Source organism: Homo sapiens, chromosome 4, assembly GCF_000001405.40.
Source record: "Homo sapiens chromosome 4, GRCh38.p14 Primary Assembly".
Lineage (NCBI taxonomy): Eukaryota > Metazoa > Chordata > Mammalia > Primates > Hominidae > Homo > Homo sapiens.
Window position 1 is genome coordinate 186,883,096 of NC_000004.12, and position 18,455 is coordinate 186,901,550.

General features: G+C 43.1%; 2 long non-coding RNA genes and 1 pseudogene across 7 annotated transcripts in view; all 3 read left to right on the forward strand.

Moving 5' to 3' along the window:
- Positions 1–18,455, forward strand: part of LOC102723906 (uncharacterized) — a 220,555-nt gene that overhangs the window by 42,434 nt on the left and 159,666 nt on the right. The window lies entirely within an intron of this gene.
- On the forward strand, positions 6,172–9,888 carry LOC105377599 (uncharacterized). The gene is made up of 3 exons (XR_939596.2): positions 6,172–8,273; positions 9,176–9,366; positions 9,685–9,888. It is a non-coding gene; the product is annotated as an uncharacterized LOC105377599 (long non-coding RNA).
- MRPS36P2 (mitochondrial ribosomal protein S36 pseudogene 2) lies at positions 17,644–17,746 on the forward strand (annotated as a pseudogene).

Below are 18,455 nucleotides of genomic sequence, written 5' to 3' on the forward strand. Positions count from 1 at the left end.
TCTTGATTCTGTTTTTCTCTGTACCATTAAGGAGTTGATGTTTATCACTTCATTATGTAAGCTTTTGTTTCAAATACATGAACTCATAAGCAATATGCATTATTATTTTGCATGTTCTTTAAAATTTTTATGTTTACATACAGTACCATGCTATATGCATAAATTTGCTTTTTAAAAAATAACCTTGTTTTTGAGATTTGTCCATGTTGATACATGTAGTTTTAATTTATTCATTTTAATTATCTTAATTGCCATAGAATATTTTATTATATTAATATACCGTAATTTATTAATTCATTTTTCTTTGACGGGCATTTAAGTATTAAAAAAATTTTTTTTTTGATTATTACAAAAGTTGCTGCACTGACTACTTGTAAACTTTATTCTTCTGCACATCTTGTGCACACCTGTAATACACCTAGAAGCAGATTGCTGAATTGTGGAGTTTTAACGTCTTTCACTAGCATTTCTGTCAATTTGCACTACCACCAGTTCCTTTTGATCAACCAGATCGCCAACACTGGCGTTGCAAATGTTAAGTGTTGCTGATCTGATAGATGTGAAATGGCATCTCATTTCTTGGCATAAATTTTCATTTCCCTGATTACCAATGAAGTTGAGTATCTTTTTACTTGTTTATTCAGTTGAGGTTTTCTCTTTTTTAATTGCCTGTTTATGTCTTGTCTGTTTTCCCTATTGGATTACTTGCCTTTTTCCTGTTAATTTGTAGGAATCTTTTATATATTATGATTATTAATCCTTTGTTAGTTTGTTGTGTTGAAAACATCTTCTCACAGACTGTGGCTTTCTATATATCTTTTGCTATGTAGAGCTTATTAAGGGTAATGTAGTCAAATTTATCCATCTTTTTCTTTATTGTGTGGATTTTATTGTGTGTTTCAAAAATCTTCCCTAAACAGTGTCACAAAGATATTCTTCTGTATTTTTCTGAAAAATTTAAATTTTGCTTTTCCTGGAATTATAAGGATTTAATTTTATATTATTTGCATATATGCCATTTTGCATATGTGTAGACAGTTGTACCAGCATCTTATATTGTATAGTGCATTTTTTTGCCTAACAATTTTCAGTTTCCCTCAGAGTATCTGGCTATCTGTCTATCTGTTTCAGGGCTCTCAATTATTATTATTATTTTTGTTCATCTTTTTACCAATATGATATCTTAATGCTAAAAAATAAATATCAATATCTCATAGGGCAAATCATCTACTTTGTTCTTCAAAATTGTTTCTGATTTTTTTTTGTCTTTCTGCTCTTCCATAAGTATTTTGCTGTTAGCTTATTACCACAAAAATATTTTTGGGATTTAGATTGTAATCTCACTTAATTTACAGAATAAATTAGAAGTAAATTGACATATTTGTGATATTGAATCTTTCCATCCATGAATGTGGTCTATCTTGCTATTTATTTAGGTCTTCTTTTATGTCTGCCAATAATATTTATAATTTTTTAATAAAGGTCTTCTATATCTAAAATCAGACTTATTCCTGATAACTTATACCTTCTTAAAAATATAATTTTGAGTGGAATATTTTTTCTAATACATTTTCTAACTGTTATATAGGAACTGTATTGATTTTTAAAATTCTGATCTTGTATTTAGTAACTTTTCACATTTGTCTTAATAACTTTATTTTGGTTTATATATATATATATATTTGTGTGCAAATAATAAATGCCTGTGTCTCTTCATTTGTGATTATTTTACCTCTTAAAATGTTCTTGTCAAGGACATTACCTAGGATAATGTTAAATATGAACAGAAATAGTAATCATCCTTGTTCTGGTTCTGATTATAATGGAAGTGCTTCTAAATTTTCGTCATTACATGCCTTCAATTTGTCTTTAAATGCAGTAATTGTTTTCAGAGATAAAGGCTACTGAAAGCAAATAAATTATTTGTATAGTAAACCATATTCGTAAAAATATTTTAGGAACTTACAGAATAGGAGAGCCTGTAGAATTGAAAACTGTGCCACTAAGAGTGTTCCAAATCCCACTGCAAGGTAAGTATGAAGAGACCAACAACCTCCCAAACTGGTACAGAAATTACTTCAAAGTGACAACATATGAGCTTCAGAAGATGCAGAAAGAAATCATATCTGAAATTCTCTTATCTGACTAGTGCAGAGCTTTTAGAGGGTCGGCCACCGCAGCTGCTCCCTGCCCCTACCCCTGGTCTCCACTCAGAGTGGCACTCACCGTGGGCTCCAGTCCATTCTAAAAACATTGCATAAACAAGCCTCATCAGAACCCTCCATCCTTTCATGCCCTAACATACCCCGGATTCCTTACTTAAGCTAATGTATGCTCTTTACTCCCAGACGTTCTGGGAGCTGCTCTCTCTACAGGGTACTCCTGCAGGTGCAATGCATGTTTCTCCTGTTAATCTATCATCAGTTAACTTGCAGGCCCCCAGTCGGCGGAACTAAGTTGGTAGTGGAGAAGTTTTTTTCCCAACAGTGAACACTTCACAGCTGCTGCTGCTGGGCACAGACATGGTGGCTTGCACTGCTGATATCCCCACGTAAGACACATTTTAAAAAATTTTTTATTTTTCAAAATTACATATTAAACATGTTTTTATTAATTTTTTTATAGAAGCAGGGAGTACAGGGGCAGGTTTCTCACATGCAGATACTGCATAGCGGTGGAGCCTGGGATTTGGCATCCCTGACATCTGAACAGTGAACATGGTACCCAGTAGTAAATGTTCAGCCCTCACCCCCTTCTATCAGCTCACCGTGTGTAGTCCCCGATGTCTGTTATTCCACACTGTGTCTCTGTGTGTACCCGCTGTTTAACTTCCACTTATAAATGAGAACATGCGGTATTGGACTCCCTGTTTCTGAGTTATTTCTCTTAGTGTAATGGCCTCCAGTTCTATCCATGTTGCTGCCAAAGACATGATTTCATTCTTTCTTATGGCTGAGTAGTATTCTTGGTGTACATACACCACATTTTCTGTATATGAAGACATTCATCTGTGGATGGACACTTAGGTGGGTTCCCTATCTTAGCTATTGTGAGCAGTGCTGTGAAAAACATGAGTGCAGAGATTTTGAATATAATGATTTCTTTTCCTTTAGGTAGATACCCAGTACCTGGTAGATACCCAGCAATGGGATTGCTGATCATAAAGTAGCTGTATTTTTAGTTCTTTGAGAAATCTCCATATTGTTTTCCATAAAAGTTGTACTAATTTACATTCCTGCCGGCAGTCGCAGGCACTTTAAAAACGACTGCCTTTGAAACCAGATGTAGCTGCAGCAATGACGTGCCCCTTGGCTGCACGTGCCCTTGGACACCCCCACCTTGCTCTGTGGATTCCGCATGGCCCTGCTTCTCAGGTCAGCAGCCCAGCAGGTTCAAGGTGCAGGAGTGGGTCTGTTGGGCTGGCAGAACCCGATTGTGTATCTATACTCCCCAGCTGCCAGGGAGTTTGAGGAGACAAGAGCTGGTCATTTTTCAGCTTCCATATTAGTTGGTGGGCTCCATCTCAAAAGGTGGATACTCCTTGAAAGAAAACACTTCAGATGCTGTAGCTGACAAGATGTAAACAGGCGATATAGGCTTTCAAAGCTGCCAGAGAGATGACTGTGGTGGCTCACATCTGTAATCCCGGCACTTTGGGAGGCCGAGGTGAATGGATCACTGAGGCTGAGACAAGCCTGGGCAAAATAACGAGATCCCATCTCTACAAAAAATTAAAAAATCTTAGCCGGGTATGTGGCCAACCTGTAGTCCAGTCCTCAGGAGGCTGAGGCAGGAGAATGGCTTGAGACCCAGGAATTTGAGGCTGCAGTGACCAATGATCTCACCACTGCACTCCAGCCTGGGTGAGAGCAAGGCCCAGTCTCAAAAAGGAAAGCAAAACAAAACAAACAAACACACAACCTGAAAGCTGCCAAACAGTTCTTTACCTGGACTCAGGGGAAGGGCAAATTTTCCTTTTCTTCTGGCTGGAAATTTAGGAATGCTTATTTTCATAGACCAGACACCATTCAGGCATTAAATCTGTGACACAGCATTCAGCTCTACACATAATTAATGTATTAAATGCCTGGCATATTAAGTGCAAACTTTACAAGTCACAACAAGATTGCCCTAACTGCCAAATTAGGGTGCTATGCCCAAACAATTTTTGCCTTAAACATCATTACCCATAATAATCTGTGGGATCTGAGCTCGGCTGGGTATCTGGCTGGTGATGTGTGAGGTCGAGTGGAACGCAGCTGCCTCCTCCTCAGCCCTGTTAGTTAAGCACCGCTAAGCAGTGGAAACCGGCGTTTGTGAGCTTGTCCAGTACAGGTACATGTTAATTTCACTTAGCCATTTATGAGTTAGAAGACACACAAGCTGTCCAATTAAAAACACCCTTTTGTACAGCCTCTTTTCAGACCCAAACCATACTTTCATACAAAGGAATGCATAAATATACATGATAATTGACTCTAATGACAGGAAAAGAATGTGATGAAACATTTCCTGATAAAATCTAGTCTCAGCATGCAAAGAGGATCAGGCCTCCTCTTCAGTCATTGTGATTTACAATATAAAGGGTGAAATTCTAAAGGGTGAAGATATTTTCTTCTAAATGGATAATATATGTATGTAGAAGAGCAGAGACCTTTGTGTTATCTGGACAAGTAAAAATTATAAATGCTCTCTAGCTGGAAAAGAAAAATTCCACTTGACAAGTCAGCCTTCCTTCATGGTCTTTTTCGTTTCTAGGTATCAAGTCAATTTTTCAATTCTTCGTACGATTTTTGTCATGCTCCTGATTATAAAGCAGTTAGGCTTAGGAAGCAGCATGAGAAGGGCATTGTTTCTGCGCTGTCTCCCATTGTTTTTTAGGGCATGCCTCTAGACACACTTCCCTATTCTATTATGAATCTGGCACTCTTCAGAGATATGGAATGCAATTATAATGGTCAAGGATCTCAGTGTGTGAAAATGAATCTTTAAAACTAGACACAATTGTTAGAACACAATTGCAAGGCCTTCGATAAACATTCCACGCATCTTAGAGGTGGAGGAAAGCACAGAGACTTCCTTGCGTATAATGCTACACATTAATAAAGCCCAATGTGACAGTTTTTGGATGGATAGTTTATCGGATTTCTTATCTTAAAGTTATTCAGTGCTGAGCTTCTCACAGAAATAGCTTTAGTCCTCTTAGGAAAAGAATTGAAAAGGTACGCAGGCAAATAGAACTCTGGGGTAATGAACAAATATTCCATCTGATTCAAAACAGGATTTTAGTGATTAGAATAATTGTCAACAAAACAAAGACCTTGATAGTACATTAAACAGCAAGCACCTGACAGATGGAGTGTTTATAATGCACATTATGTTGGAAGAACAGGCAAAGTCTCTTGTTTTACACATGGGTGCCTTTCCACCGTAATAATTAAAGTAGTTTTAGTAACCAATATGAAAATATTTTTAGCCAATTTAAATAATATGTATTTTCAAATAGTACAAATCATTTGCTGAAACAGACTTCCGAAACCAAATTATGGGATTAGTAGTTTATAACTTTGAATGTATAATCTTTTACAAATATCCATTCACGTCAAATATTCATTCTGGTACAAATTTAAGAACCAGATATGATATGTAAAATGGCCATCTATGGCCGCCCCCAGAAATTGTCTTATACTTTAAGCTACTTTTCTCACCTTTTTGCTCTAAACAACGCTGGCAAATGAACTTCCAGCTTTAGATGTGGCGAAGATGGGCTTTTTGGTCAGACACAGCAGACTCCAAGAAAGTGGACTGGGGGCCTGTAACCCCAGCTACTCCGGAGGCTGAGGCAGGAGAATGGTGTGAACCCGGGAGGCGGAGGTTGCAGTGAGCCGAGATCGCACCACCGGACTCCAGCCTGGGCGACAGAGACACCCCATCTCAAAAAAATACAAAAAATAAAGTGGCCCCGGGGCCCACGGTGCTGGGAATTGATGTGGTGGGAGAGTAAGACTCAGGCTGCCTCTCCGCGTTCTGGGGGACGCTGGAAGCGGAGGCTGTCCCTCGCCTTCCTGCCACTCCTCCCGCCTTCCTGCCACTCCTCCCGCCTTCCTGCCACTCCTCCCGCCTTCCTGCCACTCCTCCCGCCTTCCTGCCCTCCGCTGCCTGTGGCTCCTCACTTCCCCGGCCGTGCCGTCAGGGGCGCTCCAGAGCAGCCCCGGTGCCCACGTCTCATCGCAGCCCTCTGGCAGGACAGCGCGCGTCTAAACTAAGCCGAGGCGCACTTCGCTAAGGGGACCTCTCCGTTTGGACAATCCCGACGCCCGGCTCTACGTGAGGCGTTTTTCCCTCGTTCTCATTCATGGGCGGCGCTGGGCATTCTCTGCCATCCTTAGGGGTCCTCCACAGCATGCGGGAGGCCGGCGCCCCAGGGCTCTTTCACCCCCCGCTGCTCTCGTTCCTCCACGTGTTCTCCCGAGCGACCCACCCGCGTTCATGGTCCCAAACCCCCACCTAACCTCCAGCCAGCGCCCTTCTCCCGAGCTCCAGGCCCCTCCAGCTCCAGTGTGGGCATCGTCCCCTGGTTCTCCTCAAGTCCACTTACACTCAGCCTCTTCCAGGCGGAATTCCTCATCTCCCACACAACCCTTTGCCGCTCTGGTATCAGCTGGTGGCTTCTCCGTGGCCATGCAGAGAATAGAGACAGAACTTGAAACTGATGTGCACATGAGTGAGATTCTTCAGCAAGGTGACAGACAGGAGGGTAAAGAGGAAGTAGGATGAGCTCTTTGCTTTGAGTTTCTGTTTTCCAGGTCGGCTTGATTGGAAAGAGGGATGGCCGTGGTGAGAGTTGACAGTGTGCTGGTAGCCCTCGCAGCCCACGCTCGCTCTCGGCGCCTCCTCTGCCTGGGCTCCCACTTTGACGGCACTTGAGGAGCCCTCCAGCCCGCCGCCGCACTGTGGGAGCCCCTTGCTGGGCTGGCCGAGACCGGAGCCAGCTCCCTCAGCTTGCAGGGAGGTGTGGAGGGAGAGGCATGGGCGGGAACCAGGGCTTCGCGGGTGCCTGCGGGCCAGCACGAGTTCCGGGTGGGCGTGGGCTCAGCGGGCCTCACACTGGGAGCCGCAGGCCGGCTCGCAAGTCCCGGGCAGTGAGGAGCTTACTACCCGGGCCAGCAGCTGCGGAGGGTGTGCCGGGTCCCCCAGCAGTGCCGGCCCACCGGCTCTGTGCTGGATTTCTTGCCGTGCCTTAGCTGCCTCCCCTCGGGCAGGGCTGGGGACCTGCAGCCTGCCATGCCTGAGTCTCCCTCCGCACTGCCAGATGCTCCTGCCGGGCCTGAGTCTCCCCGACGAGCGCTGCCCCATGTTCCACGGCGCCCGATCCCATCCACTGCCCAAGGTCTGAGGAGTGCCAGCGCACGGCGACGGAGTGGCAGGCAGCTCCACCTGCGGCCCCGGTGTGAGATCCACTGGATGAAGCCAGCTGGACTCCTGAGTCTGGTGGGGACTTGGAGAATCTTTATGTCTAGCTGGGGGATTGTGAATGCACCAATCAGCACTCTGTATCTAGCTCAAGGTTTGTAAACACACCAATCAGCACCCTGTGTCTAGCTCAGGGTTTGTGAATGCACCAATCGACACTCTGTTTCTAGCTAATTTAGTGGGGCCGTGGAGAACTTTTGTGTCGAACTCAGGGATTGTAAACGCACCAATCAGCACTCTGTCAAAATGGACCAATCAGCTCTCTGTAAAACAGACCAATCGGCTCTCTGTAAAATGGACCAATCAGCAGGATGTGGGTGGGGCCAGATAAGAGAATAAAAGCAGGCTGCTCCGCGCTAGCACTAGCAAGTTGCTAGAGTGGCCTGCCACAGTGTAAGTTTTGTTCTTTAGCTCTTTGCAATAAATCTTGCTACTGCCCACTCTTTGGGTTTACACTGCATTTATGAGCTGTAACACTCATGGTGAAGATTTACAGGTTCAGTCCTGAAGCCAGCGAGACAAAGAACCCACTGGGAAGAACAAACAACTCCAGACGCCCCAACTTAAGAGCTGTTAACACCCGAAGATCTGCAGCTTCACTTTTGAGCCAGCGAGACCACGAACCCACCAGAAGGAAGAAACTCTGAACAGGCTGGAACGTCAGAAGGAACAAACTCAGGACATGCCACCTTTAAGAACTGTAACACTCACTGTGAGGGTCTGCGGCTTCATTCTTGAAGGCTGTGAGACCAAGAACCCACCAATTTCGGACACACTGGGACCACCCTCGCTGACTGGAGGTAATATTGGTTTTTGCTGTTGAAATTAATGACAAAAAGCGTGATTACCTTTGCACCAACCTAAATGTAAGTAGCCGAGGGCCAGTGTGGTGGTGCTGTGATGCCTTCTATGTCACAGGCTGTTTTTGTTTTTAATTTCTCCATCCTTATTAGTGCTTTTCCTTAAGGTCACCTCAGGTCCACAGACAAGGCTGCTGAGCCTCCAGCTATCCTGCCCATGTTCTATTTAAGAAAGAAGGGACAGGAGCAAAGATGTTTTCCAGCAATCTCATCCAATGCATTTGCTGACATTTCACTGGCCACCCCATCAGGAAGGAAAGCCAGACATTTTTTTTCTGCACCTAGAAATTTACAGGTTTTATTAGTTAAGAATATGGTTTAGTAGACTTTGGGTAGGAAACTAGCAGTCGCTGATGTGTGAGGGATTCTAAAAATAAGCTTGGACTTTTAAAAACATGTCTGATATGTTTGTGCCCTGTAGATCCATGTCACTTGGCAAAGTTCCTCCAGAGTTATCTAGAATTTTTCCTTTATTTCAATATCTCATCAATTGCTCCCGATCAGTTGCCAAACCTTGCCAGTTTCAAGTCCCAGAATGTAAACTAAATCTGTTTCCTCCTCTTCATTCCTGATACCACTTCCCTAGTTCAGGCCCTGCTGTTCCTCGCTAGGTCGCTGGCACCACCTCTTGACTGTGTCCTTTGAGTAGGGAGAGTAAAGCATGAACGGTGCCAGCTCTACAGCTGGAGCTTGGCTTTTCTTGGGGGGGGGGGGTAAATAAATTAAACAGAAAATGCTGGTAGTTCCTGTGGTGTATCTGAGCTATCTGTTTAAATAGCTGATTCGTTCATCATTAGGTGTCCAAGGACAGTGACTTGCCTTATTCTGCTCTTATTCTCCAGCACTTGAGGCAATCATTCCCAGATAGTGGAACCTCGAATGGCAGACACTGTGGTTCTCCTGCGGGGCTGAGAACTGTGAGGAGCAGAGCAGACTTCATGGAGCTCCACAAGTCACATACACAGGCGGCTGCTGGCTATTTCCGCTTTCTCATCTGGAATTGGCAGCGGACTAAGTGGGCCCTACTTATTAGGTTGGTGCAAAAGTAATCGCGATTCTTGCCATTAAAAGTAATGGCAAAAGCTGCGATTACTTTTGCACCAATCTTACTATATATATATTATTTTTTCAAATCTCAGTTTTATTCTCATTCCAGCATCCTAATGCTTTCCCTTTGGATTTTTTTTTCTAATCTTGAGAAGTTTGTGTTTTCAGTGTAGTAATAACAATAATAGTGTTCTTAGCACACGCGTTACGCCAAGGGCTTTTAAAAGATACTTTTCATAAACCAACTCACTTAATTCTCACAACAACTTTTGAAGTAGTCCACTTTCTAATCCTCATTTTACAGATAAGGAAACTGAGGCACACAAGGTCAGCTAACCTGCCCGAGGTCTCTAGCTAGTGACTGGAAGAGGTGTTCTCTGGATATTATTTGAATCTCAGTCTCGCTATATTTCTTCGTCATGACTGTAACTTTCCCCCTGTATTTCTAAATATTTTAATCTCTTGATCATATAGCATACGTTGATTTAATAAATCACTTTTACATGCATTATCGTATTTGGTATTCATCACAGCTCTCTGAGGTGGGTAAGGGAGATTTGGTTACTTCTTTCTGACAAATGAGAAAAATGATGCTCATAGACACTGTTAAGTTAGAAGCACAGGGCGTTAATTCTGGAAGTGTTTTAAAGATTACCCAATCCAGCCACTCAACTTTTAGGAAATTGAGCGTCAGAAAAATAAATGCCTTTCTCTAGTTCCCACAGCTGGCTGCAGTACCAATCACCTGCCTCTGAGTTCATTGCCAGCTGGGTGCTGTGGAACTTACCTTGACTTTGGAGTTAATTATCCAACTTCTCTGAGCTATAGTTTACCCTTTATAAAATGAGGGCATGATTATGCTTCATAAGACTGTTGTGAAACATAAATAAAGTTAATATGTGCTGGGCCTAACACAACCCAGATATCCATGAAAAGGGGTCAGGCTTTTTTTGCCCACTCCTCATTTTACCTTTTCTGTAACGCTGTCGTGAGGACATAAAATAAGTTGCTATTCTATAGCATGTATTTTATTCTATACCATGGGGCTAGGAAATAAAAACCCTGCCCATCCCCTGCTCTCTGATGTTTTTTTCTGAACTAGTTTCACGTGCCTCCTTTTACTTGCCATAATCTTTGGCTGCGGAAAACCTCCAGGCCCAATCAATCAGGTTGCTTCTACTCTCTCCAGGCTTTGTTTGCAGCCTGAACTCCAGGGTCCATCACGTCAATCGTACTGTTGCCACTGTTTTTGCACTCCCTTACCCGCTTTGCTCAGCAAAACTCCAGTCCCCCGTCAGTCCAAACACCCGATTTCCCCACCCGTGCACCAGTGCTGCTGCTGCAGGTGACACTGTGAACTTGCTACACGTTCTTGGGCTCACCCCAGCAGGGCCCTCCGTTCTGCAGAGCGATCATTTCCAGTTCTAGTCCTGTTTCCCTCACAGCTCTTTGAGATTTTCGTGTCATTCCTCAAACTCCAGACCTCACCACCTCACCTTATAGCAAGAGTGTTTGGTACCCTGCTGAGAAAAGCAGTCATCCTCATGGAAGATCGCTAACGTCAGCAGGGTGCTTTCTGTGGGGCAGACATTGGGGCAAGTCCACCATTTATGTCATTTCGTCCATCTTCACCAGAGTGCCAGGTAGTAGATATCGTTATGATTGTTCCATTTTAGAGGGGAAGCAGCTTAAGCTCAGAGAGGTTGTGTAACTTCTCCAAGGTGGAACAGCTGGGGGAAGAGAGCCACAAGCAGCTCATGGCTTGCCTCTAGAGCTGACCTATTAAGTATCAAACAACAAATTCCTCTATGTTCTCCCCTGTACACAACAAACTTATCTTCGTTAATTTTTAAAAATTAGGTTTAAAAAATTTTCTGATTTATTCATGCATACAATTTAAAGAGGCAAACAGGTATGAGGAAACAGCAGCCCCTGACCTTCTTATCCTTAACTTCCACTTCCCCAGAAGCAGCCACTTTTAACTGAATTTGTTTGGCACTTACATCCACGCTTGTAAATATCACGCTGATGCTGCCACTCACTGATATGTCCATTTGATCCCCTCTGTGGACTTCCCACGGGGGAGCATGAGGGTTTAGCTCTTCCACACAGCAACACCCCTTTCTCTCAACACAGACAACACATTTTCTGTCTGTCCCATCTTCCTATAAGTTGTACTCATTTATGTAAGATATAAATGCTAATCATGACTACGCACAGGTATGTTATCATTACTTTTCCTCTTCTGAACATTGGTGTGAGGCCTAAAATTAAGGCCCTGTGGTATATGCTGCCCTGACCTTTGGTGAAACCAGGAAGGCATCAAATGGTCTAACCTCAAGTTCCCCTCAAGCCTGCACCTGTGGATAAGGTCCCTTGGCTAAACACCCCTCCTTACTGAGCGGACCAGGCACAGTTCCTGCCTATTCCTGAGTAACAAGTTTCGGTTCCCTACCAGCCTGGAGTTTTATTCAGACAAGCCAATCACACCCTCCCATGGGGACCAGGGGTCACCTCACCCCCGTGGTACTACAAAGCCTGGCTCCCGCCGCCTGGTTGCTCACTCTGCTCCTGAGGGCCTGAGTGGTGGGCATCGCTCTTCTCCCCTGGGCTGTGAGCACTTGCTGTTAATCAACGGCCATCGATCTTACCTGGCCAGTGTCTGGCGTTGTGGGTCCAGCCATTCCTCCCTCAACGAAGAGGTGTATAGAAAGCGAGTAAAACACACGTCACTTTGTGTTTCTAGGGTTGATCCGAATCTGCTCGGTTTTCCAGTGTATACATCCTCTCCCAATCCCTTCAAACTTTAATGTCGAGTTCCTCTTCTTGGTGACTCTGACCTCTGGTCTAGCTTGGTGGGTCACTTACACCCACTCTGTGGCCATCACCTTTTGGAGATTTTGCCTGTCTGAAAATGTTGTTATTCTTACACTTACTTGATAGTTCGGCCAGGTCTGGAGTTACTGGTTGGAAATTATTTTTCTTTAGAATTTAGAAGCCATTTTCATGTCTTTTAGTTTCCAACATTGCTGTTGAGAAGTTCAAAGCCATTCAAATCCTTAATCCTTCATATGTGATCTGTTTTTCCTTTGCTATATGGAAAACATTCCCCTCACCGCCCCCCCCTTTATAAATTTACCAATGAAATGCACTAGTGTGGTTCTATTTTCATTCGTTGAACTTGAATGGGTCTTTCTAATCCAGAAATTCATCCTGGAGCTCTGGGACCATTTTCACGACTGAGTCAGTTGATGGTTTTCTCCACTCCATTTTCTTTTCCTGTTTCTACTTTCTGAAACTCATATGATATAGATATTGGCTTTCTTGAATAGTTCTCTAATTTTATTATCATTTTTCTTTTCTTTCCTTTTTTTTTTTTGTTTGAGATGGTGCCACCCAGGAGTGCAATGGCTGAATCTCGGCTCACTGCAACCTCTGCCTCCCGGGTTCAAGTGATTCTTCTGCCTCAGCCTCCCGAGTAGTTGGAACTACAGGCCCACGCCACCATGCTAATTTTTGGATTTTTAGTAGAGATGGGGTTTCACCATGTTGGCCAGGCTGGTCTTGAAATCCTGACCTCAGGTAATCCGTCCACCTTGGCCTCCCAAAGTGCTGGGATTACAGGCATCAGCCACTGCACCTGGCCTTTTTTTCCTATTTTCTGTTTTTAATCATCAGCTTTCTAGATTTCTTTACCTCATCTTCTAATCTTTCTACTGAATGTTTTATTTCTCCTGTTCTATTTTTAATTTGAAGGTTGGTTTTTGGTGCTCTTTTTGGTAAACTCTAGGCTTGTGGGTGGGGTTTTATTGATGGCGGGCTTCCCTGTGGGATGAGTTGGCTGAGCATTTTCTCGCAGATCCCCTACACTGGTTGGTCTCTTCCTGTAGGTGGGCCAGATGCCCCCAGGAGAGCTTCCAAACTCTTTCCTGAAGGCGGGCGCCACACTGCCAGCTGCCAGCACGCGGGGCTCCAGCAGGAAAGGAGATGTGTACTGATGACTTTGTATCCTTCCACACCGCCAAGTCAGCCACCACTCACTAGCTGGTTTTCAGTTTCTAAAACTGCGTTGCTGATGTTTGCATTCCTTTGGGATTTTTAATACTTTTTATGTATTATATATTGATATAACTATTAATTATGTATTAATATAACTTTACTGTTATTTAAATGGGATTTGGGAGGAATTGAGGCTAATGCAGTTTAGTTTTTGTCTGTTTATTTCTATTTCTACCTATTCTTTCATTTCCTCTCATTTTCGCTAATTTTTTTTCTAGTCTGAGGTTGTTACTTCATGCGATACTCGAACTCAGTGCCTTTGCATCTCCTCCCTGGTCTGTCTTGTGCTTTTGAATCTACACTACCTTTTCCTTTCAGCTATGAACACATTGCGATAATTCCATCTTAGACATTCGTTTGAACCCGCATCTTCCTCATTTTCTCTTTTGTATCTCTACTTCCTTTTGCAGCCGAGCTTTTAGAAAGTATCCCTGTCTCTGCTTCCTCTGAACTTATTCACCACTCTACCCATGGAAGGGGACTTCCTAGAAAGTCCCCAGATACCCCCACAGACACTTTCCTCTCTTGAGTTCACTCTACTGCTTAAGGCCATCTTGACTACATTCAGAATTCTCTTTTTCCCTTGTTTTTGTTATTATTAAAAGGAAGTTTATCTACACTGAAAGTAATGCATATTAATTATGTAAATTTGGAAAACAGAAACAATACAGGAAGGAAAGAGGAAATCCCATTCATACATGTACCAAACAGCGATAACTCCTGTTAAACTCAGGATGCATTTCCTTCCCAAGTTTTTGCTGAGAATATACTATTTGCGTAACTGGATAATTATCTATATGTACATGTGTTTGTATAGAGCGGCATGTTCTGATTTTATGGAAGGCTCCATATCCCCACATCCAATGATCTCAAGGATCACTCCACTTATATGTTCTCAAACTTAATATTTTTAAAGCGATTTTTCAGAAAATTGGTTGCTTTTAAGTTTCCCATCTGAACAATGAATCCTATCACTAGTCAACCAATTGACAAAGCCAGAAACCTGTGTCACATCTTCACCTTTTCCCTCTCCCTCACTTCTGCGATCTAACCAGTTGCAGCTCCTTTGAGTTTTTTATTTTATTCTATTTTTTGTTTTTTTGAGATGGAGTTTCACTCTTGTTGCCCACACTGGAATGTAATGGTGCAATATCGGCTCACCACAACCTCTGCCTTCCAGGTTCAAGCGGTTCTCCTGCCTCAGCCTCCCTAGTAGCTGGGATTATAGGCCCTTGCCACCACGCGCAGCTAATTTTTTTTTTTTTTTTTTTAGTAGAGACGGGGTTTCTCCATGTTGGTCAGGCTGGTCTCGAACTCCTGACCTCAGGTGATCCACCGGCCTTGGCCTCCCAAAGTGCTGGGATTACAGGCGTGAGCCACCGCACCTGGCCGGCTCCTTAGAATTTTAATTCACCTCTTCTAAGAACATCACTTCAGGTTATGGTTTCACACTTTTTGCCTGAAATATCGCATTAACCTCAGCGAAGACTTGGAACCAACCCAAATGTCCAACAATGATAGACTGGATTAAGAAAATGTGGCACATATTCACCATGGAATACTATGCAGCCATAAAAAATGATGAGTTCATGTCCTTTGTAGGGACATGGATGAAATTGGAAAACATCATTCTCAGTAAACTATCGCAAGAACAAAAAACCAAACACCGCATATTCTCACTCATAGGTGGGAATCGAACAATGAGATCACATGGACACAGGAAGGGGAATATCACACTCTGGGGACTGTTGTGGGGTGGGGGGAGGGGGGAGGGATAGCATTGGGAGAATTACCTAATGCTAGATGACGAGTTAGTGGGTGCAGTGCACCAGCATGGCACATGTATACATATGTAACTAACCTGCACAATGTGCACATGTACCCTAAAACTTAAAGTATAAAAAAAAAAAATCCTAGCAGCTAACCCTACCTCCTAGAACTATTCCTCAGAATGCTGGCAGAGCAATTGATGCTGCTCCCCAATGATGTCACTTGCTGAATCATGTCCTTTATTGAAAAATTCTTCAACATCTCCCCATAGCTTGCCGAATAAAGTTACGATTCCTTAGCCTGGGACTCAAGGCTTTCATGCGTCTTTCAGAGATGTCTGGCCTCTGTTCCTAGTTTTACTGGTTTCATCATCCCATACCTCTTTACTATGGGAACAATAGATCACGCCATTTCTTTCCTTCAAAACTTTCTTCATTCTCTTCTCTTTTTCCCTTTCTTATGTAGCTAATTTTTACACATTCTTCAAAATGTAGATGAGTGTCCTTTATTCAAAGAGGCCCTCTTTTATTTCCTAGTCTAATTTAGAAGCTTCTCCTAGCTGCTTCCATATCACCATCAGCTACCGTATCACTGAAATGATGATTTACTTTGATGTTCCTTCACTAATCTATCTATCAATCATCTATTATCTATCTATCCATCCATCCATCTTCAGAGTTGAGGCTGTGAGTTACTTGACATTGTATTTCTAATACCTAATCCAGGGTTTGATACAGGATAGACTCTCAGTGTTTACAGGAGGAATAGCTGCCCATTCTGAGTTTTTATGTGGATGCTCTATTTTCAAGGACAGTTCTTTTTTACTTTACACTTTTGTAATGAGTGTGTGAAGAGAGATTATTGCATAGGTGTGAGGGAGGAGGGAAAGAAATACAGAAGTTTATATAGGTCACCACAAAGGATTATTCCAAATTACCCTTTTGGGTTTCTCATAGCCGTTTTTAGGATAAGACTAGAATTAAACCAAAGTGTAAAAGTAGGAAGGGATGGGAAGTCCGCTCATTTGGAAGTCTAATCTAATGTAGTGCATGTTTCCACAGGGAAACTGTTGCAGAGGACAAGTGTCAGAAAAGTACTTTAATAGGTAATTGTTTGTGTTTGTGGTGCATTATTTTGCCAAATTACACAATATGGCAATAAGACAAAGTATATCATTTAAAATTATCCTGTTAAGGCCAGGTGCGGTGGCTCAGCCTATAATCTCAGCACCTTGGGAGGCCAAGGTGGGCAGATCGCTTGAGGTCAGGAGTTCGAGACCAGCCTGGCCAACATGGGGAAATCCCGTCTGTGCCAAAAAATAAATTTTGAAAATTTGCCAGGTGTGGTGGTGGGTGCCTGTAATTCCAGCTACTTGGAAGGCTGAGGCAGGGGGAACCCTTGAACCTGGGAGGTAGAGGTTTCAGTAAGCCGAGATGGTGCCACTGCATACCAGCCTGGGCAACAGGTGAGACCCTGTCTCAGAAAAAGAAAATTTTTAATGAAATAAAATAAAATTACCTTCTTAAAGCATATTGAATAGTAAAAATCATGTACAATAACACTACAAATAGTTGAGTTGTCATTGATTTTCCACGTAAAAGTTTTTTCTCTGTGTTTAATCATGTTTTTCTTTACAAGGTATCACTTGTTCTTTACCTTCTTGCGGTGTTTCTCTCTCAGTTCTTCAATAATAAAGCATCTCACAATGAGACCTGTGATTTCCTCAATTGAATTCCAAGTCCTCAGATATGGTATTGGAGCTTCTCAGCGATTTGATATATCCTAATCATGGTACCCTAATATTTTTTAGGCGGTGCAATATAATGTTGGAGATAGAAGGCTCCTAGATATCATGTAATGTAGAGACTCTGTAGCAGAAAGAAGTGGGCTTGAAGATGGGATAGTTAGTATCAAAAGCATATCATGGCCAGGCATGGTGGCTTACACCTGTAATCTTACCATTTTGGGAGGCTGAGGCAGGGGATTGCTTGACGTCAGGAGTTTGAGACCAGCCTGGCCAACATGGCAAAACGCTGTCTCTACTAAAAATACAAAAATTAGCTGGGTGTGGTGGTGGGTGCCTGTAATCGCAGATACTTGGGAGGCTAGGTGGGAGGATTGCTTAAGCCTGGGAGGTAGAGGTTGCAGTGAGCTGAGATCATGCCACTGCACTTCAGCCTGGGCGACAGAGCAAGACCCTGTCTCAAAAAAATGCATATTAGAAGGGGTGCCGATGGGAGCAAGAAGGTCTCTGCCAGTGGGGTCATTCAGGTCGTCAGGCCCCATACTCCCATTAATAAGGCTGCCTGAAAGAGAAGACAATCCTCAACCCAGTATGTCAGAGCTTTGAGATCTGTAGCTACTGTCTCACTCTTCTGCAGTTTCACACACTCTAAGGGACGTGAGTCATCAGATTTTCTGAGATATCAGGGTCTGGCAGACAATGCAGAATAATAAAAACATTACCCTAGAAATACAGAAGGAAACTCCTGTCTCAAGAAGAAATTGAACGTACTCAATGTGGAGGCCCAGAATCATCACTGGGACGGCTGTTTATCATCAGAGCCAATAATTTTTTTACAGTAAAGGACTTCCAAAATGACAAATGTGAAATTGTATGTCAAACAACTTTAATAAATGTTCTGTTAAAAAAATGTAGAAAAGATAAAAAGCATATCAGAAACTTTTCCAAAACATTTATCCCTGGCTTCTTGGTTTCCTCCCTCCTGAACTCTGAAATTCTTGTAAGTTTGGTGGCAGGCATGAGTGTTACACATACAGATACACATGCAAACAAAACAACTTTCCGGTGATCATAATATCCTCTACCTTTGCCTTTCTCTTTGAGTTCAGAACTATTGATTCAGTGTAGCTTTTGTTTTCAAGGAAACTATAGCTCAAAAAGTTCAAGTTTCACTGACTTGTCCTGGGTGATGGGGCTAGTTAATGGCAAAGCCAGTCCTGGAACCTCCGCCTCTCCTGCTGTTGGCAAAGCACTTCTGCTACACGCACTGCTTTCCTGGATGACTTTTAGAAACTGCCTCTTCAGCTTTGAAGAATCCAGAGAAATCTTTTTTCTCTTTTTTTTTTTTTTTTTGAGACAGAGTCTTGATCTGTTGCCAGGCTGGAGTGCAGTGGTGTGATCTCGGCTCACTGCAACCTCCACCTCCTGGGTTCAAGTGATTCTCCTGCCTCAGCCTCCCCAGTAGCTGGGACTACAGGCGCACGACCACGCCCAGGTAATTT